At 42.5% G+C, this 24447-nt stretch overlaps 1 protein-coding gene and 1 pseudogene across 1 annotated transcript in view; one reads left to right on the top strand and one right to left on the bottom strand.

Annotated features, from left to right (window-relative positions):
- Positions 1 to 24447, top strand: part of LOC112268076 (translation initiation factor IF-2-like) — a 154152-nt gene that overhangs the window by 42654 nt on the left and 87051 nt on the right. The gene's annotated exons all lie outside the window — the stretch shown is intronic.
- On the bottom strand, positions 17330 to 18110 carry SNRPCP12 (small nuclear ribonucleoprotein polypeptide C pseudogene 12; annotated as a pseudogene).

The raw sequence follows: 24447 nt of genomic DNA, 5'->3' as shown, positions 1-24447 counted from the left end.
GCCCACTTAGAGAAAGAGAAACTGGTTCTCTTTAAGAGGCAGACGGAGGTTTCCAGTGCCAGTTTGTTTGGAGGCAAAATGGCTGTTGTATTAAAATTGCCCAAACTTGGGCTGGTGCCTTGTGTGTTTAGAGCTCAAAGCCATGATTGTTTTCATTTTTTTTTTTTTTTTTTTTTTTTTTTGGTGGTCGGTTTTCCATCCTTTTGCTTGGTAGGTTTCTGCTAATAGCTTCGACCTCAAGAGTCCCATTATACAGACACTAATAGCACCTACTATGTGTCAGTCTGTAGTGCCTACTATGTGCCAGGCATTGGAGATAATATAATGATGAACAAGATAAACATGGCACTTGGAAAAGAGAGTCTAGTTCCCACTCTCAGCCCACCCCAAAGAGAGGCCAGAATTGGGCTTCCAAAGATCTCAGATGCCCTTGCATCATCTCCATGAAGAGGGTGGGTGAAGCTTTGGTGTCTGAAGAGAATTTGGCTGGACAATCCCCAAGGGTTGGAATGATGGGAAGGAGCTGCCATCTGTGTTTAAGGTGAGAAGAGGGGAGTGGCTGGATATCAGAGGAAGCCAAGATGAAGAGAAGGTTTTTGTGAGTTCCTATGCATAGTGGAGACCTGTTACAGTGAGGGTCCCTGGGGCTGAGCCTGTGGGTCAGTGGAATGATGCTGTGAGGAGGGTCTTGTTATAGCAGATGGCCCAAAAAAGGCTGATGGATCATGAGCAGCTGGAAGAATGGAGAGTTCGGGGGAAGTAGTTCCTACCTGGCTTTCCAACAGTGTGTAAGCCCAGAATTCTTACATAAGCCCATGGAGAAGGGAAAGCAATGCTGGTAACGACAAGATTGAATTCTCCACCTGCCAGGCATCCAGGGACTCAGAGCAGATTTAAGTGAAGTTACAGAAATAGGAATGTGACATTTCCTACATCCGGATGTGCTGGAGCAAAATGTATTCCCTCTCTGGTTTGTGGGGAAGGAGAATGCTAACAGACAAGACTCCAGGTTTTCGCTCTTAAACCTGATGCCTAGAAATGCATTTTCTACTGGATGCAGACAGAAGCTCCATATAGACATATCCATTGCTGCATCGCTCATGCCTTGTGTTCTCCCTAATTTTCCCTTTTTAAACCACAGAGGAAGAAAATTCCAGCATCACTTCTGGCCTCTCAAGAGTGAGTTAGGTGGCCAGGTGGGGTTATTCTTGCCTGTAATCTCATAATGAAGGGGTGGCCTGCCCCTCCACACCTGTGGGTATTTCTAGTCAGGTGGGATGAGAGACAAAAAAGAAATAAGACACAAAGTATAGAGAAACAACAGTGAGCCCAGGGGACCGGCGCTCAGCATACCAAGGACCTGCACTGGCACCAGTCTCTGATTTCCCTCAGTTTTTATTGATTATTATCTTCATTATTTCAGCAAAAAGGAATGTAGTAGGAGGGCAGGGTGATAATAAGGAGAAGGTCAGCAACAAACATGTGAGCAATAGAATCTATGTCATAATGAAGTTCAAGGGAAGGTACTATGACTGGACGTGCGCGTAAGCCAGATTGATGTTTCTCTCCACCCAAACATCTCAGTGGAGTAAAGAATAACAAGGCAGCATTGCTGCAAACATGTCTCACCTCCCACCATAGGGCGGTTTTTCCCCCATCTCAGAATTGAACAAATGTACAATCGGGTTTTATACCGAGACATTCAGTTCCCAGGGGCAGGCAGGAGACAGTGGCCTTCCTCTATCTCAACTGCAAGAGGCTTTCCGCTTTGACTAGCCCATCTCAGCACAGACCCTTTATGGGTGTCGGGCTGGGGGACCGTCAGGTCTTTCTCATCCCACGAGGCCACTTTTCAGACTATCACATGGGGAGAAACCTTGGACAATACCCAGCTTTCAAGGGCAGGGCTCCTTGCGGCTTTCCATAGTGCATTGTGCCCCTGGTTTATTGAGACTAGAGAATGGCGATGACTTTTACCAAGTATACTGCTTGGAAACATCTTGTTAACAAGGCACGTCCTGCACAGCCCTACATCCCTTAAACCTTGATTTCATACGACACATGTTTTTTCAGCTCCAGGTTGGGTCAAAGTGGTTGGGGCAAAGTGGCTGGGGCAAAGCTACAGATTAACAACATCTCAGCAAAGCAATTGCTTAAAGTACAGATCTTTTTCAAAATGGAGTCTCTTATGTCTTCCCTTTCTATGTAGACACAGTAACAGTCTGATCTCTCTTTCTTTCCCCTACATATCCCCCTTTTCGTTTTGACAAAACCACCACCATCATCATGGCCCCTTCTCCCTGGTCGCTGTCTCTCTGGAGCTGCTGGATACACCTGTAGACTAACAATAGAAAAGTCAGACATACAAGGATTAATATAAAATTTGCAATAGTGGAATTTCCGGTGGTTTTAACCCAAGTGACAGGGGGCAAGAGGACGGTGTGGGTGCTGCGGCACCCGGGCAGTCTCCCACCTCCTTTGTGTCTTAGTTGCTGTTTCTCATAGTTTTCAGTCTTTCTCCTCACCTACTGACTCGCACCTTTTATCTCTTTGTCTCCCTTCTCTTATGGTCTCTCTCTCTCTCTCTTTTACACTATCTCTCTCCCCAATCTCACTTTCTGTGTCTGTCTCTGATCTCTGTCTCTTTTTCTTTCTATTCTTCTCCCTGGCTCTCCACATGTGCTGTTTTCTTGGTGGATGGTAACTTTATCTGTTCTTCTGATATCACCATTTTGTTCACCCTGCGGGTCGATGATGCTCGATTGTGGGTTTTCTGTCTCTGCGGAGGCACTTTCATTTGCATCTCTGATGGGTTCATTGTAGAACTTCAAACGTCTAGTGGGTATCCAAACAGGAAGCTGATTTTCTCCTGGTGAAACACGAGCAAAACCTCTCCCCCATGTTATCACCTTACCTATTTCCCATGTTTTGTTTTTGTTGTCTTTCCACCAAATCAGTTTTCCCTCATGTGGGCTGTTCTTTTTACCAGTAAAATGTTCTGCAGAAGTAGTGGTCTGATTTCTATGTATGTTTAGAAAATTTAAAGTATAGAGTGTTAGATTAAGTTGCATCTGGGGAGTGTTATACTCCTTACTGTCTTTTTCCTTTTTTTGTTTAACCAATTGAGCTTTGAATGTTCTAAGCAGGACAGGTAAGATCTGCATCTGGCACAGCCAGCCAGGTCTCCTTACCCTCTGCTTCCCTTTCTGCCTGTGACTGAATGGGTATGTCAGGGTCTAGTAGGGGTTCCAGGAGGAAGAAGCCTCATTAACTTCTATTGTGCAGCAATTGATGGCCACCCAACTTGAACAGTGGGGCTTATCACCTCATGTACTAAGACCGGAGATAGCTGATGCCAAGGTTGGCTAAATTAGTAGCTTGAGATGTTAGGTTTTTCATTTGAGGTTTCTATGCTGCTATTGTCTTCTGCTCTTGGTCACAGAGGCTGCCACAATCCGCATGTCAAGTCCTCATGTGACAATATCCAGAGACAGCAAGGAAGAGGTACAGTGTATTCCTGCATGTTTCTTAAAAAAATGTTTTTGATAGAGAATAATTGTACACATTTGTGGGGTCCATGTGAGATTCTGGCACATGCATGCAATGTGTAATGATCAAATCAGGGTCTTTAGGATATTAATCACCTCAAACATTGATCATTTCTTTGTGTTGGGAATATTTCAAATCTTATTGCTATTTAGAAATATACAATAAATCCATTTATCAGGATACAAAATCTATGTACACAAATCAGTAGCAGTGCTATACACCAACATCTACCAGGCTGAGAATCAAATCAAACCCTTTTATAATAGCTGTAAAAATAATATACTTAGGAATATACCTAACCAAGGAGGTGAAAGACCCCTACAAGGAAAACTACAAAACACTGTTGAAAGAAATCATAGATGACACAAAGAAATGGAAACACATTCCATGCTCATGGATGGGTAGACTCAATATTGTGAAAACGACCATACTGCCAAAAGCAGTCTACAAATTCAATGCAATTCCTATCAATATACCATCATCATTCTTTATAGAACTGGAAAAAAAAATGCCAAAATTCAATTGGATCTAAAAAAGAGTCTGCACAGCCAAAGCAAAACTAAGCAAAAAGAACCAATCTAGAGGCATCACATTACCCAACTTCAAACTATATTACAAGGCTATAGTCACCAAAACAGCATGGTGCTGGTATAAAAATAGGCACATGACCAATGGGACCGAGTAGAGAAGCTAGAAATAAAGCCAAATACTTAACACCCAACTGATCTTCAACAAAGTAAACAAAAACAAAGTAGGGAAAGTACACCCTATACAACAAATAGTGCTGGGATAATTGGCAAGCCACATGTAAAAGAATAAAACTGGATCCTCATCTCTCACCTTATACAGAAATCAACATAAGATGGATCAAAGACTTAAATCTAAGGTCTGAAACCATAAACATTCTAGAAGATAACATTGGAAAACGCTTCTACACGTTTGCTTAGGCAAACAGTTCATGACCAAGAACCCAAAAGCAAATGCAATAGAAACAAAGATAAATAGATGGGACTTAATTAAACTAAAAGCCTCCTGCACAGCATAGGAAATAATCAGCAGAGTAAGCAGATCACCCACAGAGTGGGAGAAAATTTTCACAAACTGCATCTGACAAAGGACTAATGTCCAGAATCTACAGGGAACTCTAATCAGCAAGAAAAAAATAATCCCATCAAAAAGCGTGCCAAGGACATGAATAGACAATTCTCAAAAGAAGATATACAAATGGCCAACAAACACATGAAAAAGTGCTCAACATCACTAATTACCAGGGAAATGCAAATCAAAATCACAATGCAATACCACGTGTAAAATAAACAAAAATAGGGCCAGGTGCGGTGGCTCACGCCTGTAGTCCCAGCACTTTGGGAGGCTGAGGTGGGTGGATCAGGAGGTCAGGAGTTTGAGACCAGCCTGACCAACATGGTGAAACCGAGTCTCTACTGAAAATACAAAAATTAGCCAGGCATGGTGGCAGTTGCCTGTAATCCCAGCTACTCAGGAGACTGAGGCAGGAGAATTGCTTGAACCCGGGAGGCAGAGGTTGCAGTGAGCTGATATCGCACCACTGTACTCCAGCCTGGGTGACAGAGCGAGACTCCATCTCAAAACCAAAACAAAAACAAAAACAAAAAAAGCAAAAATTGATGTTGGCACGGACGTGGTGAAAGAAAGCTTTTACACTGATGGTGGGAATGTAAGCTAGTACCACCACTATGGAAAGCAGTATGGAGATTCCTTAAAGAACTAAAAGTAGATCTACCATTTGATCCAGCAATCCCACTGCAAGGTATCTACCCAGAGGAAAAGAAGTCATTATATGAAAAAGATACTTTTGCACACGTTTACAGCAGCAAAATTCACAGTTGCAAAACTATAGAATCAGCCCAAATGCCCATCAACAATTAGTGGATAAAGAAAATGTGTATATATATATGTGTGTGTGTATATATATATATATATGTGTATATATATGTGTGTATATATATATATGTATATATACCATAGAATACTACTTAGCCTTATAAAGGAATGAAATAATGGCATTCATAGGAACCTGGATGGAGTTGGAGACCATTATTCTAAATGAAGTAACTCAGGAATGGAAAACCAAACATTGCATGTTCTCACTCGTAAGTGGGAGCTAAGCTATGATGATGCGAAGGCACAAGAATGAAACAGTGGACTTTGGGGGCTCAGGGGGAAGGTGGGAGGGGGTGAGAGATAAAAGACTATACATTGGGTAAACTGCTTTGGTGATGGGTACGCCAAAATTTCAGAGATCACCACTAAGGATCTTATCCATGTAACAAAATACCACCTGTTCCCTAAAAACTATTGAAATTTAAAAAATATATACATACAACAAATTGTTGTAGTCACTTTCTGTGATAATGAACACTAGATCTTATTCCTTCTATTATATATTTTTATACCCATTAATCAACTTCTTTTCAAACCCCTCCTATTCCCGGCCTCTGGTAACTATCATTCTACTCTTTATCTCCATGATATCAATTTTATATAGCTCCAGGGCACACAAGTCCATAACTGCGGTCTCTATCCCTGACCCTGCTGACCTGAAACATGGCCCCCACTTTGATTTCCAGGAGCATAAACTGCTCATATAAGTGAGAACATGCAATAGTTTTCTTTCTGTGCATGGCCTAGTTCACCTAACTTTATGACCTTTAATTCCATCCATTTAGCTGAAAATGACAGGATTTCATTCTTCTTTATGGCTGAATACTATTCTATTGTGCGTATATTCCCATTTTCTTTATCCATTCATCCATTGATTGACACTTAGATTGATTCCATATCTTGGCTATTGTAAATAGTGCTGCAGTATATATGGGGGTACAGATATCCCGTTGATAGACTGATATCCTTTTTTTTGGATATATACCCAGGAGTGGGATTGCTGGATCATATGGTAGATCTGTTCTTAGTTTTTTGAGAAATCTCTGTACTTTTTTTCATAATGGCTGTACTAATTTACATTCCCACCAACAATATACGATAATTTTCTTCTCTTCACATGCTTGCCAGCATTTGTTGTGCTTTGTCTTTTTAATAATAGCCATTCTAACAAGTGTGAGATGATATCTCACTGTGGTTTTGATTTGCATTTCCGTGATGATTAGTGATGTTGAATATTTTTTCATAAACTTGGTGATTTGTATATCCTCTTTTGAGAAATGTCTGTTTATTTTTTGATAGTTTCTTTTGCTGTGCAGAAGCTCTTTCATTTAATTAGATCCCATTTGTCAATTTTTGCTTTTGTGGCAAATGCGTTTGGCATCTTCACCATGAACTCTTAGCCAATCACTATGTACCGGATGGTATTGCCTAGGTTGTCTTCCAGGGTTTTTATAGTTATGGGTTTTACATTTAAGTCTGTAGGCCGTCTTGAGTTAATTTTTGTATATGGTGTAAGGGAGGGGTGTTGTCTTTTCACTCTGTTGATTGTTTTCTTTGATATGCAGAAGGTATTTAATATAATCCCATTTGTCTGTTTTTGTTGCTTGTACTTTTTTAGTGTTAGCCATACAATCTTTGTTCTGAAGCGTTTCTCCTGTGTTTACTTCTAGTAGTTTTATAGTGGCTGTTACATTTAAGTCTTTAATCGATTTTGAGTTTATTTTTGTAAGTGATGAGAGATAAGGGTCTAGTTTTATTCTTCTGTGTTTGGATATCTAGTTTTCCTGGCACCATTTAATGAAGAGGGTGTCTTTTATTCAATGTATGTTCTTGACACCTTTCTTGAAAACCAGCTGTAAATATGTGGATTCATTTCTGGGTTCTTTAGTCTGTTTCCTTTGTTTTTGTGTCTGTTTTAATACCAATACACGCTGTTTTGGTTACTATAGCTTTGCAGTATGTGTGTGTGTGTGTGTGTGTGTGTGTGTGTGTGTGTGTGTGTGTGTGTGTATATTTTTTTTTTTTTTTTTTTTTGAGACAGAGTCTTGCCTTGTCACTCAGGCTGGAGTGCAGTGATGCAATCTCGGCTCATTGCAAGCTCCGCCTCCCTGGTTCACGCCATTCTCCTGCCTCAGCCTCGGCTAATTTTTTTTTTTTTTTTTTTTTTTAATAGAGACGGGGTTTCACCGTGTTAGCCAGGATGGTCTCGATCTCCTGACCTCATGATCCACCCGCGTTGGCCTCCCCAAGAGCTGGGATTACAGGCGTGAGCCACCACGCCCAGCTGCTTTCCAGTATACTTTTAAATCAGGAAGTGTGAGGCTTTTAGCTTTGTTCTTTTTGCTCAGTATTGCTTTGGCTATTTGGGGTCTTCTGTGGTTCCATATGAATTTCAGGGTTGTTTTTTTCTTCCTGTTTCTGTGAAGAATATAATTGATAGGGATTATACTGAATCTCTAGATTGCTTTGGGTAGTATGGTCATTTTAACAGTATTAGTAATTCCAACCCACGAGCATAAGATGCTTTTCCATTTGTTTGTGTCTTCTCAATTTATTTTATCAGTGTTTTGTGGTTTTCATTGTAGAGGTTTTTTTTTTTTCCCCATCCTTGGTTAAGTTTATTCCTAGGTATTTTATTTTTGTAGCTATTGTAAATAGAATTTCTTCCTTGGTTTCTTTTTTAGTTAGTTTGTTACTGGTATATAGAAACATCACTGATTTTTGTATGTTGACTTTGTGTCCTGAAGCTTTACTGAATTATACATCTGTTTTTTTAAAATTTTTTTATTTTTTATTTTTTGAGACAGAGTCTCGCTCTGTTGCCCAGGCTGGAGTGCAGTGATGCAATCTTGGCTCACTGCAACCTCCGCCTCTGGGTTTCAAGCGATTCTCCTGCTTCAGCCTCCCAAGTAGCTGGGATTACAGGCACCTACCACCATGCCTGTTAATTGTATTTTTAATAGAGACAGGATTTCACCATGTTGGCCAGGCTGGTCTCAAACTCCCAACCTCAGGTGATCCGCCCACCTTGGCCTCCCAAAGTGCTGGGATAACAGGCATGAGCTACCATGCCCAGCCTAACTTATCCATTTAAAGAGTTTTTTGGTGGAGTCTTTAGGTTTTTCTGTTTACAAGTATAAGATTATGTCATCTGCAAAGTGAGACAATTTGACTCCCTCTTGTCTAGTTTGGATGCCTTTTATTTCTTTATCTTGTCTGATCACTCTGGCTTGGATGTCCCATGCTGTGTTGAATAAGAGTGGTGAAAGTGGGCATCCTTGTCTTCTTCCAGTTCTTAGAGGAAAAGCTTTTCAATTTTTCCCAGTGAGTAGGTTGTTAGCTGTAGATTAGTCATATATGCCTTTTCTTATGTTGAAGTGTTCCTTCTATGCCTAATTTGTTGAGAGTTTTCATCATGAAGGAATGGTAAGTTTTATCGAGTGATTTTTCTGCATCTGCTGAGATGATCAGATAGTTTTTGCCTCTCATCTTGTTGATGTGATGTATCACATGCATTGATTTTGTGTATGTTGAGCCATCTTTGCATTCCTGGGATAAATCCCACTTGATCATGGTATATTATCTTTTTCATTCATCATTAGATTTGGCTTGGTAGTATTATGCTGAGAATTTTTCCATCTGTATTCATTAGGAATATTGGCCTGTAGTTTTCTCTTTCTGTTGTGTCCTTGTCTTGATTGGATATCAGGGTAATGCTGGCCTTATACAATGAGTTAGGAAGAATTCCCTCCTCTTCAATTTTTGGGAATAGTTTGAGAAGAATTGGTGTTTGTTTTTCTTTATAAACTGGGTAGAAATCAGCATAAAAGCCTAGTCTAGGGCTTTTCTCTTTGGGGAGACTTTTTGTTACTGATTCAAACCTGCTATTCATTTTGGGTCAGTTCAGGTTTTCTGTTTCTTCCTAGTTCAATCTTGGTAGGCTGTGTATGTCTGGGAATTTATCCCTTTCCTCTAAGTTTTCCAATTTGTTAGGATATGGTTGTTCATAATAGCCTTTAATCATCCTTTTTATTTCTTTGGTAACAGTTGTAATGTCTCCTTTTTCATTTCTGATTGTATTTATTTGGGTCTCCTTTCTTTCTTTCTTTCTTTTTTTTGTTAGCCTCACTAGTGGTTTATCAATTTTGTTTAACTTTTCAAAAAAAACAACTTTTATCTTGTTGATTCTTTGCATTTCTTTTTTGTCTCTGTTGCATTTGGTTCTGCTGTTTTTTTTTTTCTTTCTATTAATTGTGTGTTTGGTTTGTTCTTGCTTTTTGAGTTCCTTGAGGTGTATCATTAGGTTGTTTATTTGAGATCTTTCTACGTTTTTGGTGTAGGCATTTATTGCTATAAACCTTCCTCCTAGTACTGCTTTTGCTGTATCCCATAGGTTTTGCATGATGTGTTTCCATTTTCTGTTTAAAAAATTTTTTTGATCTCCATCTTAATTGCTTCATTGACCCAATGATCATTCAATAGCACATTTAATGTCCATGTATTTGTACAGTTTCCAAATTTCTTCTTGTTATTGATTTCAAGTTTTATTCCATTGTGGTCTGAGAAGATACTTGATATGATTTTAATGTTTAAAATTTTGTTGAGCCTAGTTTTGTGTCCTAACATATGGTCTATCCTGGAGAATGTTCCATGTGTTGATGAGATGATTGTGTTTTCTGCTGCTGCTGGATGAAATATTCTGAAAATATCTGTTAGGTCCATTTGGTCTAAAGTGCAGCTTAAATCTAATGTTTCTTTGTTGATTTTATGTCTAGATGAACTGTCCAATGCTGACAGTAGGATATTGAAGTTCTCAACTATCATTGTATTGGACTCTATCTCTCCCTGTAGATTTAATAATATTTGCTATGTGTGTCTGGATGCACTTGTGTTGGTTGCATGCATATTTAGAATTGTTATATTTTGTTGCTGAATTTATCCCTTTATTACGATATAATGACCTTCTTTGTCCTTTTTACAGTTTTTGACTTAAAGTCTGTTTTATCTGATGCAAGTTTAGCTACTCCTGATTACTTTTGATTTCTGTTTGCGTGGCATATCTTTTTCAGTCCCTTCACTTTCAGTCTGTGTGTGTCTTTACAAGTGAAGTGAGTTTCTTGTAGACATTGTTGGGTCATTTTTTATCCATTAAGCCTGTCTCTATCTTTTAGGTAGGTAATTTAACACATATTCAAAGTTATTATTGATAGGTGAGGACTTATTCCTGTCATTTTGTTCATTGTTTTCTGGTTATTTTGTATATCCTTTTGATTTGATTTGCCTGTGTCCCCACTCAGATCTCATCTTGAATTCCCATGTGTTGTGGGAGGGACCCAGTGGGAAGTAGTTGAATCATGGGGGCAGGTATTTTCCATGCTATTCTTTTGATAGTGAGTAAGTCTCATGAGATCTGATGGTTTTGAAAGGAGGAGTTTCCCTGCTCAAGCTCTATTTGCCTGCTGCCATCCCTATAAGATGTGACTTGTCTCTCCTTGACTTCCGCAATGATTTTGGAGCCTCCCCAGCAACGTAGAACTGTAAGTCCATTAAACCTCTTTCTTTTGTAAATTTCCCAGTCTTGTATGTGTCCTTATCAGCTGTGTGAGAATGGACTAATACAGTAAATTTGTACCAGAAGTGGGGTGTTCCTAAAAGATACCTGAATATGTGGAAGTGACTTTGGAACTGGGAAACAGGCAGAGGTTGGAGGGCTCAGAAGGAGACAGGAAAATGTGGGAAACTTTGGAAGAGATTTCCTAGAGACTTGCCCAAAATGCTGATGGTTATGTGGACAATAAAGTCTAGGCTGAGGTGGTCTCAGATGGAAATGAGGAACTTGCCGGGAACTGGCACAAAAGTGACTCCTGTTATGTTTTAGCAAAGAGACTGGTGGCATTTTGCCCCTGCTGTAGAGATTTGTGGAATTTTGGACTTGAGAGAGATGATTTAGGGTATCTGGTAGAAGAAATTTCTAAGCAGCAAAGCATTCAAGAGATGACTTGGGTGCTGTTAAAGGCCCTCAGTTTTATAAGGGAAGCAGAGCATAAAAGTTTGGAAGATTTGCAGCCTGACAATGCAATAGAAAAGAAAATCCCATTTTCTCAAGAAAAATTCGATCTGGCTGCAGAAGTTTGTTTAAGTAACGAGGAGTCAAATGTGAATCTCCAAGACAATGGGGAAAATGTCTCCAGGGCATGTCACAGAGCTTCATGGCAGCCCCTCCCATCAAAGGCCCAGAGGGCTAGGAAGAAAGATGGTTTTGTGGACTGGACCCAGAGCCCCCCTGCTGTGAGCAGCCTCGGGCGCCTGTGTCTTAGCCACTCCAGCTGCAGCTAAAAGGAGCCAAGGTACAACGTGGGCTGTGGCTTCAGAGGGTGCAAGCCCCAAACCTTAGCAGCTTCCACATAGTGTTGAGTCTATGGGTGCACAGAAGTAAAAAATCGAGGTTTGGGAACTGCTGCCTAGACTTCAGAAGATGTATGGAAATGCCTAGTTGTCCAGGCAGGAGTTTGCTGCAGGGGCAGGGCACTCATGGAGAACCTCTACTAGGGCATTGCAGAAGGGAAATGTGGGGTCGGAGCCCCCACATAGAGTTCCTACTGCAGCACCACCTAGTGGAGCTGTGAGCAGAGGGCCACCATCCTCCAGACCCCAGAATGGTGGATTCACTGACAGCTTGCACTGTGTGCCTGGGAAAGCTGCAGACACTCAATGCCAACCCATGAAAGGAGCCAGGAGGGGGTTTATACCCTACAAAGCCACAGGAGTGGAGCTGTGGCCTTTTTTCACCCAAGGCCATGGGAGCCCACCTCTTACATCAGAATGACCTGCATGTGAGACATGGAGTTAAAGGAGATCATTTTGGAGCTTTGAGATTTGACTGCCCCACTGGATTTTGGGCTTGCATGGGGCCTGTAGCCCCTTTGTTTTGGCAATTTTTCCCATTTGGAATGACTGTGTTTACCCAATGCCTATACCCCCATTGTATCTAGGAAGTAACTAACTTGTTTTTGATTTTACATGCTCATAGGCGGAAGGGATTTGCCTTGTCTCATGTGAGACTTTGGACTGTGGACTTTTGAGTTAATGCTGAACTTAGTTAAGACTTTGGGGGACTGTTGGGAAGGCATAATTTGTTTTGAAATGAGATTTGGCAAGGGCCAGGGGCAGAATGATATGCTTTGGTTGTGTTCCCACCCAAATCTCATCTTGAATTCCCACATGTTGTGGGAGGGACCTGGTGGGAAGTAATTGAGTCATGGGGGTAGGTCTTTCCCATGTTGTTCTTGTGAAAGTGAATACGTCTCACAAGGTCTGATGGTTTTAAAAAGGGTAGTTTCCCTGCAGAAGCTCTCTCTTTGCCTGCTGCCATCCAGGTGAGACATGACTTGCTTTTTCTTGCCTTCCAACGTGATTGTGAGGCTTCCTCAGCTACGTGGAAATGTAAGTCCATTAAACCTCTTTCTTTTGTAAATTGCCCAGTCTCAGTCAGGTATGTCTTTATCAGCAGTGTGAAAACAGACTAATACACCTTTGTTCCTTTTTTCTCTCATTATTTATTGTTGCAGTTTGGTGGTTTTCTTTAATGGTGACGTTTGAATCCTTTCTCCTTTGTGTGTCTGCGCTACCATGAGTTTTATACTTTCATGTATTTTAATGATGGTAGATATTGTTCTTTTTCTTCCCAGTGTAGGACTCCCTTAAGCATTTTTTGTAGGACCACAACAAACAAGACACAAACAGTGTTTTGTTTATCTGGGAAATATTTTTTCTCTTTTTTAAGCAATGGAGTCTCACTCTGTCACCCAGGCTGGAGTACAGTGGCATGATCATAGCTCACTGCAGCCTTGAACTCCTGGGTTCAAATGATCCTCCTGCCTCAGCCTTCTGAGTCTCTGGAATTGCAGATGTGAGCCACTGTGCCAGTCTTCTTCATTTGTGAAGGATAGCTTTGCTGGGTATAGCATTTTTGCCTTACTTTTTTTTTTTTTTTAACTTGTAGTATACATCCCCTTTTCTCCTAGACTGAAAGGTTTCTGCTGAGAAATCCCCTGTTAGCCTGATGAAGATTCTCTTATAAGTGACTTGATGCTTTTCTCTTGCTGTTTTTAGCATTTTCTCTTTGTCTTTTGACAATTTTACCATAATGTGCCTTGGAGAAGACCTTTTTGAGTTGTATTTATTTGGTAATCTTTGAGCTTCCTGCATTTGGAAGCTTTCAGGAAGTTTTCAGTTATTATTTTATTAAATAGGTTTTCTATGCCTTTACCCATCTCATCTCCATCCAGAACTCCCAGAATTTCAGTTTTTGGTCACATATGTGTCCCATATGTCACATAGCCTTGCTTCATTCTTTTTTCTTTCTTTTTGTCTGACTGGATTATTTTAAAAGACTAGTCTTCAGGTTCAGAAATTCTTTGTTTTGCTTGATCTAGTCTATTGTTAAAGCTGTCAATTATCTTTTGTATTTCTTTCAATGATTTCATCTCTTCCAGGATTTGTGTTTGGTTCTTTGTTATGCTGTCTATCCCTGTTGAATTTCTCATTCAGATCATTAATTATTTTCCTGATTTTTTTGTATTCATTATCTGTGCTCTCTTATATCTCCCTGAGTTTCTTTAATATTATTATTCTGAATTTTTTTCAGGCATTTCATAGATTTTCTTTTCTTTCGAATCTGTGGCTGGAGAATTATTGTGCTTCTTCGGAGATGTTATGTTTCCTTTTTCATATTTCTTGCGTCCTTATGTGACTATCTGTGCCTCTGACATAGCAGTCACTTCTTCCAATCTTCTGGGTTGGCTTTTATATGGGAAAGACCTTTTCTTATAGCTGTATCTACAGTGTTCATTGGATATCACACTTTGGCTTTGATTCTGGGTGGGTACAGTGGTATAGTCTGCATATGATTTCTTCAGCTGTAATTGGCATGAGTGGTGTCTGTGAGTTATTCAGTGGCTTAGACTGCAGGTTTTTTTGTTTGTGTGTTTGTGGTTGAGATGGAGTCTAGCTCTGTCACCAGGCTGGAGTGCAGTGACACAATCTAAGCTCACTGCAACCTCTGCCTCCCAGGTTCAAGCGATTCTCCTGCCTCAGCCTCCTGAGTAGCTGGGACCACAGGCACGTGCCACCACACCCAGCTAATTTTTGTATTTTTAGTAGAGACGGGGTTTCACCACGTTGGCCAGGCTGGTCTTGAACTCCTGACCTCGTGATCTACCTGCCTCAGGCTCTCAAAGTGCTGGGATTACAGGTGTGAGCCACCGCGCCCAGCCAGACTGCAGTTGTTATTGGAGGCTGTGGTGAGGCTTTGCTGAGGATGGGGATGCCTGGAAGTCTTGTCCTTCAGCATCAGTGGTAGTGGTGGTAGACCAGGTGTGTCAATACTAGGGACCATGGGCAGTGTATGTGGGCACTGATGATAGCCTGTCTGCATGGGCCAATCCCTGGGCCTCCAGGTGGCTTCTTTGGTTGCTGGCAGTGGCAGCACTGGGCCAGGTGGGCAGGTGTGCCACTGGGCTCCTGGGTGGTGTGTGTGGCAGGCTGATCTCTAGTTCTCCAGGTGACGTGTGCAGGTTCTGGTGGTGGGTAGGCAGGTGTTTCCTCAGGCCTCTCAGTAGTAAGTGTGAGCGCTAGCTCTGGAGGCAGGTGAGTCAATCTCCAGGCCCCCAGATGGTACATTCAGGCACCAGCATATTCCTATGCATTTCTAGATAAAAGTATTTTTCAGAAAACCTGAGCATATGTCCTATTAATACAACTTACCCTCATCAGCTCTGCATGAGAAGAAGGGGGATTTCCCTCAGTAGAACAGTCAGAATGGAATCACATACTTGTTTTGAGCCAGTCACTGGTAAGTGGGGTTAGGATAAAATGATACGCTCAGAATCTAAACCTTAGACTAGGGAATGGCAAACTTTTTCCATAAAGAAGCAAACGGTAATATTTTAGGCTTTTGGTCTAGATAACCTCTGTTGCAGTGACACAGTGGTGCCATCGTAGTCTAAAGCATATGTAGACAAGGCATAAATGAATGGACCTGGTTTTATTCCAGTAAAACTTAATTTATACAAACAGTCAGAGGGCCAGATTTGGCCCTTGGTCTATAGTTTGCCAACCCTGTTTAGACCAGTCACAATTTATTCCCTGGGGCTGGGCCAATTTTTTCAAAAAAAAAAAAAAAAGTAAGCAACCCGCTGTCAGAATAAAATAGGGTTTCTATTTAAAAAGAAGAAGAGGCTGGGTGTGGTGGCTCATGCCTATAATCCTAGCACTTTGGGAGGATGAGGCAGGAGGACTGCTTGAGGCCAGGAGTTTGAAACCAACTTGGGCAATATAGTGAGACCCTGTCTCTGCAAAGAATAAAAAAATTAGCCAGACATGGTGGCACATGTCTGTAGTCTTAGCTACGTAGGAGTTTGAAGGGGAAGATCAGGGGAGCCCAGGATTTTGAGGGTACAGTGAGCTCTGACTGTGCCACTTGTACTCTAGCCTAGGCAAAGAGTAAGACTCCGTTTCAAAAAAAAAAAAATGGTAATGGTTGGTTGGGGTGGGTTGGAGAAGAAAGTATTTCTGAATTTCTGGGTAGGTAACTGGTAGTGTCAGGCCAAACTAGCTCTACAGTCTTATTCATTATAAATAAAGGCAACTAGAAGATCTCCATCTAGCTATTAAAAATTGGTTAAAATCTACAGAGATAAAGGATGGTGACCCTTGTATCAGTTACTTATTGTCACAAAATGCTGCATAACAAGTCACTCCAAATCTCAGTGGCTTAATACAACAGTCATTTATTTTCATGGATCTATGGGTCAGCTGAGGTTGGTTAATCTAGCATGAGCATGTCTGGGAAGCTCTACTTTGCTCTTGGTGTCTCTTATCTTCTGCTGGAAGCAGCAGGCTGGCCTGGGCTTGTTCTCAGGGTGATAGCAGGAGTGAGTGAGCACAAATGAATGCATACTTTCCATGTTTTTGGTCATACAGATTAATATTCCAGTGGCCAAAGCTAGACACATGACTAAACCCAACATTAGGGGCTGGAGAAATATACTCCGATTCTTCAGTGGGAGGAACTGCAGAGACAAATGGCAGAGTCTTGGATACAGGGAGACATGGATCCATTAATGTACCTTAATCAACAACAGCCCTCTAACCACCAATACAATTAAATAAGTATTTGTTGAATGCACTTGTGCCTGAATGCTTCTGGCTGCAGCCCAGGCAATGGGGGTCTGACTGGGGAGGGACCATAGCAGGGACTCGATGTCCTGCAGGTCTGCATGTAATTGTGTACGGCCGACTCCACATTGGTCATGGCTGATTTGCTTTGTCCTGCATCCCCAAGGGGCAACGATTGGCTGATTTTATTTCTGAACAGTTTTGACAAAGTTGTTTTCAGGAGCCCAGGAAGCAAATCAATTGTAGATTTGAATTTTGCAGGGGGTCAGAATTGTTGAATATATATATAGTCTTTTACATGCTGATAATTATTTCCATACCACAAAGAAGGCTAGCTATTAGGAGGCTGCTGTTCAATTTCTTTGCCCCGTGAGCTCATGAGCTGTGTCTATGTGGGGGGCACTCACTTGTTAGAGATATTTCCCTTCAGAATAATATTAGCCAATATTCTAAATAAATGCAGGAAATTAAATAGTCTTCCCCAGACAGGTACTTTGCCCTTCTAAAGTGAATTACACAGTGTAAAATAAAACACAGTCACATTAAAAAACCAAAAGTTCTTTGTGTTAGGTTGGTCTGGCATCAGCAAAGATATTTTCCTCCAGAGTAGAACATCCTTTTAATGCACGATATTGCGTGCGGCGGCCCCACATCTCGTTTCCTTTTTTGTTGTTGTTGTTTTTAACTAAAAGAGTTGACAATTTTTTTTTCACATTTCCCAATAGAAATGAAAACTGCATCTTTTTTGGTCCCACTTCGGCCCTCCAAAACTATTCTCTTTGATAGGGCAAGGGGCAAGTCTTCCTTATGCTGTTAAGAAAACCCGGCATCACAGCAGCATGATCTCCTGGTGAAGGGAACAGGTAAATATAAAACTCATATAGGCCGGGCGCAGTGGCTCACACCTGTAATCCCAGCACTTTGGGAGGCTGAGGCGGGCGGGTCACGAGGTCAGGAGATTGAGACCATCCTGGCCAACATGGTGAAACCCTGTCTCTACTAAAATAAAAAAAATTAGTCGGGCATGGTGCGCACGCCTGTAGTCCCAGCTACTCAGGAGGCTGAGGCAGGGGAATCGCTTGAACCCGGGAGGTGGAGGTTTCAGTGAGCTGAGATCATGCCACTGCCCTCCAGCCTGGGTGGCAGAGGAAGACTGTGTCTCAAAAACAAAACAAAAACATTACAAACAAAGAAAACACAACAATAACAACAACAAAACAACACTGATGCAGTGAGGCCTCCCCCCTATCCTTATCTGTCTGGTCGAGTCATTCTGGGCTGACTGGGCACCATCATGAGATGGCAGGAGGTCTCATCATTGGGCACCCAGGCATCATGGGCACGTGGCCTCCCATGGGCGGCCTCATTCCAGGAGCAGGTCCCACTGGCATCATCCCAGGAGGAGGAGGGCCCATCATTGACATCATGGGAGGGCCCCCCATATGGGGTGCTGCCATCATTCTGAGATGTGCGAGAAGTGTCAAATACACATTAGATTGTGAAGACTTAATATAAAAAGAAAGCAAAGTATTTTGTTAATGTTAAAATATTTTATACTTGTAGACCTGGTATTTTGGATAGATTTGTTTAAATCTGTGATATTATTCCAATTACCTTCACTTCTTTTGTTTTACTTTTTAAAATGTGGTTACTACAAAATGCAAAAGTAAGTATGTGGCTTCCATCATATTTCATCACATTTAGTGTGGACCCTGAGGATCTAGGGGAGTTATGAGCCTTAAGTTGAGGGTGACCCAGGTCAACGTGAATTGCTCTGAAAGAGAAGCAAAGGGCATAAAGAGAACGTATAAATGGAGAGAGGGAGCTCAGTCTCACAGGGTGAAGAAAGGCTTTCTTTCTTACACAGTCTGGCACTTCTTCAAAAGCTTAAACACAGAGTTCTATGACCCACCACTTCCACTCCAGTTTATGAAAGAAATGAAAATATATGTCCGTGCAGAAACTTGTACACAAATGTTCATAGCAGCATTATTCATAATAGCGCCAAAGTGAAAACAACACAAATGCTTGTCTACTGATGAGTGGAGAAATAGAACATGGTTTGACTATGCAATGGAATATTATTCAGTCATCAAAAGGAATGAAGTACTAACACGTGCTACAACACGGATGAACCATGAGAATATTATGCCAAGTGGAAGAAACCAGTCACAAAAGGTCACATATTATAAGATTTCATTTATATAAAATGTCCAGAACACGCAAATCTATGAAGACAGAAACCCTGTCTCTACTAAAAATACAAAATTAGATGGGCGTGGTGGCATATCCTTGTAATCCCAGCTACTCGGGAGGCAGGAGAATTGCTTTAACCCAGGAGGCAGAGGTTGCAGTGAGCCGAGATTGTGCCACTGCACTCCAGCCTGTGACACAGACTCTATCTCAAAAAAAGTAGATTGTCAGGGCTTAGTGGGAGGAGGAAATGGCAGGTACCTGCTCATGGATACAGGGTTTCTTTTGGGGTGATGAAAATGTTTTAAAATTGATCATGGTGGTGGTTGCCGAGCTCTGTGAATGCACTGAAACCATTGATTTGTTTACTTTAAATGGGCAAATGATATGGTACCGAATTATATTTTAATAGTTATATTAAAAAAGTAAAATCTTCCTTGAAGAGATGACACTTAAGGAGAGGCCTAGGGGTGGGATGAGTTCACTATGTGGAGAAATGAGGAACAGCATTTCAGGGTGAGGAACAGTATAGTGAAGTCCCTGAGGTTGATAGGCATAGAGCAGATTTAAGGGACTGTTTTTTTTGAGACGGACTTTCACTCTTGACGCCCAGGCTTGGGTGGAGTGGTGCGATCCTGGCTCACTGCAACCTCTGCCTCCCGAGTTCAAGCGATTTTCCTGCCTCAGTCTCCCGAAGTAGCTAGGATTACAGGTGCCGTCCACCACACGTGCTAATTTTGGGATATTTAGTAGAGATGGGGTTCCACCATGTTGACCAGGCTGGTCTCGAACTCCTGATCTCAGGTGATCCACCCGCCTCAGCTTCCCAAAGTGCTGGGATTACAGGAGCGAGCCACTGCGCTCAGCCAGATTTAAGGGACTTTCAAGAAGTTTGTGTGGCTGAAGCCTGCAGGGCAAGCGAGAGAATCAGGAAATGAGGCTGGAGAAAGAGAGGGGCTAGGTCATGAAGGGTCTCACGTTAGGGTGTGGAAACTTCACACGAGTGATCCCACCTTGAGCATCCCACGTAACTACTCTCTGTCCCAGCTTCCCCACTGGTGAAATAAAGGGCTGATGTAGGGATGGACTGAGATAGTGTGTGCTCAGAAAAGGTGACCTTTTATCATTGTTTTTTTTTTTTTTTTCGAGATGGAATCTCATTCTGTCGCCCAGGCCGGAGTGCAGTGGCGCGATCTGGGCTCACTGCAAGCTCCACCTCCCGGGTTCACGCCATTCTCCTGCCTTAGCCTCCGGAGTAGCTGGGACTACCGGCGCCCGCCACCACGCGCGGCTAATTTTTTTGTATTTTTAGTAGAGACGGGGTTTCACCGTGTTAGGGAGAATGGTCTGGATCTCCTAACGTCGTGATCCGACCTCCTCGGCCTCCCAAAGTGCTGGGATTACAGGCGTGAGCCCCCGCGCCCGGCCGAGCTTTTATCATTGTTAACCCACACAGCAGAGGGAGCCATTGAAATTTGAGTGATCTGTTTGGATGCACCTTCTGAAGTGATTGCTTTGGTCCCTGTGAGGAGTGCAGATTGTCACAGGACCAGGGAAAAGCAGAGGCCAGTCTGGAGGCATTTGCAGTCAAACAGCTGGAGGTGATGGTGGCTTGGTTTATGGTGGTGTCAGGAGAGTGGCTGAGCAGTGAAGGATCTGAGAAAGATTTAGGAGGTAAAACCCACGTGACTTGGCCACTGAATGTGAGTTGTGTGGGCTGGAGGGAAGGTAAGAAAGAATGAGAAGAAAAACATACGCAGGTGGGCCCTCCAGCCTAAGGTTACTTGAGGTCCTTTTGTGAAGAGGAATGTTTGTGTTGATGATGAAGATGTCTAGACTTTGAAAGGCCATTTGCAGGACTTTTTTTTTTTTTTAACAGCCAACAACTCCTCCTTCCCTATGCCCTAAATATATGAGTGTTTTTTGACCTAATTTATCACAGAGGGATGGAGGTTCATTTGCTTTAATGAGCAATGCAGAATGCCATTAAGAAAGCATATTAAATTAATCTGGATTGCTGGGAGGGAGTTAAATCTGTTTACATGTGCACCAGTGTGACTATAATAGTTTGGTCTCAACCCATTTCTGGCCTGCGGCTGCAGGAGATTGACTCCCAGCTTGCTTTCATTTGAAAGATCCCAGCAACAAGCACATTTGGCATTTCCAGCCAAACCCACTTTGTGCAGCGAAGGAAAAGTTGAGGAGTGCCTCTGTTGTTTTCCCCCAAATCATTTGGCAGAAATGTGGCTGGGAGCTTCATTGCTGATTTTTTCAGTTTTAATATTGCTGTGGAAAGCCTGTACCAACACTCAGCCATGTTATTCATCCACAGCTCCAGTCTGGGCTGTGATTTGTTTTTCCTTTGAGTGACACAATCTTATTTTCCATTAAGACTCAATGCAAATAGGCACTCATGCACCATCACCATCACCCCTCCTGATTGGTGGAGGGAAGTCAATGCAGTGATTCTAGTTTGGTGTTCATATCGGAGGGTTTTATGTATTTATTTATTTATTTTGAGACAGAATCTCTCTCTGTCACCAGGCTGGAGTGCAGTGGTGCGATCTCAACTCACTGCAACCTCTGACTCCCTGGTTCACGCGATTCTCCTGCCTCAGCCTCCCGAGTAGCTGGGCTTACAGGCATGTGCCACCACACCTGGCTAATTTTTTGTATTTTTAGTAGAGACGGGGTTTCACCGTGTTAGCCAGGATGGTCTTGATCTCCTGACCTCGTGATCCGTCTGCCTCGGCCTCCCAAAGTGCTAAGATTATAGGCGTGAGCCACTGCGCCTGGCCTGGAGTTGTTTTTAAAAGCACATTTCTCTCAAATTAACTCCGGGGTGTCCCACTGTGACTAGGGCAAAGGTTTGGATTTTCTGGAGGTGGAAAGTCAAACTTCAAATAGAATTTGGAGGCTGCCACTGTGGTTCATGCCTGCAATACCAGTACTTTGGGAGGCTGAGGTGGGTGGATCATGTGAGGCCAGAAGTTTGAGACCAACCTGGGCAACATGATGAGGCCTCGTTTCTACTAAAAATACAAAAATTAGCTAGGTGTGGTGGTACATGCCTGTAATCCCAGCTACTTAGGAGGCTGAGGCAGGAGTTTGCTTGAACCTGGGAGGCAGAGATGTCCTGTGTCCAAATCCCATGAGGCGTATCAGCCGGCTGAAGATAAAATCGGTCACGCTGTGTTGAGATTGGGGTTGCTGTTATCATCCCTCATCTCCACCCCTGCTAGGCATCCACAAACAGTCATCTTCAATGAGACATCCCTCCTGCCCCTGGCTGCCTTATTTCATCTGCACCCAACCATATCCATTGCTTGTCAGTGGGTCTCAACCTTGGCTGCACCTTGGAATCTCCTGGGGAGATGAGACGATACCAAGGCTCTCTCTCACTCAGCATGTTGTTTCCAAGGTCCATCCACATGCAGTAGGCACCAATACTTCCACTGTATGGATACAGCACATTTTGTTTATTCATTCATCAGCCAAATGGTCAGCTTGGTTGTTGCTACCTTTTGGTTATTATATATATTACATGATTCCATTTATGTGAAAGGTCCAGAATAGGCAAATCTGTAGAGGCAGAAAGCAGGTAAGTGGTTGCCAGGAACTGGGGGAAAGGGGGGGGGGATGGAGAGTGCTTGATTGGATACAGGGTTATTTTTTGGGGGGGCGGGGGGTGTTAATGAAAATGTTTTGGAACTAGACAGAGATGATGATTGCTTAACATTGTGAATGTATTTAATGATACTGAAGTGTATGGTTTCATACAGGGACTTACGTGTTATGTGAATTTTGCCTCATTAAAAAAATACTGCTAGGAGCAATGGCTCATGCCTGTAATCCCAGCACTTTGGGAGGCCAAAGCGGGTGGATCACCTGAGGCTGAGAGTAGGAGATCTGCCTGGCCAACATGGTGAAACCCTATCTCTATTAAAAATACATAAATTATCCTTTCCAATCTTTGGGGGGTAATTTTTACAATGCAGTCTAACAACCAGCTGCCTCAAAATGAACTGGGATCCCTCGTAACCAGGTAGCTCCCCCATCTCCAACTCTCACCTGCCAAGTCAGAATCTTGTGGGTGGGGCCGAGGACTGTACATATTGAAACAGGCAGTAACCTGGGAACTATTTCTGAACACCCCTATGTTTCCCCTGTGTTTGCTCTTTCCTTTCACATTTGGACCCCTTTGTGTGCTGACCATTGGGCTGTTTCACATAGACATAACATAAATAAGACAGGCCTGGTGCAGTGGCTCATGCCTGTAATCCCAGCACTTTGGGATGCCGAGGTAAGTGAATCACTTGAGGCCAGGAGTTCAAGATCTGTCTGGCCAACATGACGAAACCCCATCTCTACCAAAAATATGAAATTAGCTGGGTGTGGTGATGTACACCTTTGATCCCAGCTACTCAGGAGGCTGAGGCTGGAGAATCCCTTGAGCCCAGGAGGCAGAGACTGCAGTGAGCCGAGATCGCACCATTGCACTCCAGCTTGGGTGACAGTGAGACTCTTAAAAAAAAAAAAAAGACAAAGATAGTCCTTCCTTTATGGAGCTCTCAGTAAAACAAGAAAGCTCAAGATGTCCTGGCATTTGTCAGAAATACATTTGGTATATAGCTGGGGTCACATGCTTGACATGCCTATTGAAAGCTTCTGGGTAGGAAGAGAACAATCATCACAGCATCACAGCCTGGCATAACTGTCTCCCAGGACAGGTCTCCCTGGGGAGACTGAGACCACACCTCTGAAATCAGAGCTCAAATCCAGGTTCTACATTTCGCTCAGTAATGTACATGATATAGGACAGTTTTTATATTAGTTATCTATTGCTGTGCAACAATATTACTGCAAACTTTGTGGCTTGAGACAGCAGACAGTTATCACTGCATGGTTTCTGTGGGTCAGGAATCCAGGCGTGACTCAGCTGGGTTCAGTGCAAGGCTGCAGCCATAGTGTCAGCCAGTGCTCAGTTCTCATCTGGAGGCTTGACTGGTGATTGGTCTGCTTCCAGGCTCATCTGGTTGTTGGCAGCATTCAGTTCCTTGCAGGCTGCTGGACTCAGCGCCCCAGTTTCTTGCTGCCCTCAGCTTCTTGCCACATGGGCCTCTCCATCTGGCCACTCATGACATGGCAGCTCACATCCTCAAAGCCAGCAAGACAGACAGCCTCCTAGCAAGACAACTTAACACCCTATCTAACATAATCACTACATCCCATCACCTCTGCCATATTCTCTTGGTTATAAGAAAGTCATAGGTCCCTTTGTCAGATGACTAGATTGCAAAAATTTTCTCCCATTCTGTAGGTTACCTGTTCACTCTGATGGTAGTTTCTTTTGCTGTGCAGAAGCTCTTTAGTTTAATTAGATCCCATTTTTCAACTTTGGCTTTTGTTGCCATTGCTTTTGGTGTTTTAGACATGAAGTCCTTGCCCATGCCTATGTCCTGAATGGCATTGCTGAGGTTTTCTTCTAGGGTTTTTATGGTTTTAGGTCTAACATTTAAGTCTTTAATCCATCTTGAATTAATTTTTGTATAAGGTGTAAGGAAGGGATCCAATTTCAGCTTTCTCCATATGGCTAGCCAGTTT

This window comes from Homo sapiens, chromosome 11 (assembly GCF_000001405.40).
Source record: "Homo sapiens chromosome 11, GRCh38.p14 Primary Assembly".
Taxonomy (NCBI): Eukaryota; Metazoa; Chordata; class Mammalia; order Primates; family Hominidae; genus Homo; species Homo sapiens.
Note: the sequence above shows the minus strand (reverse complement) of the source record. Positions and strands in the feature narration are given on the sequence as shown.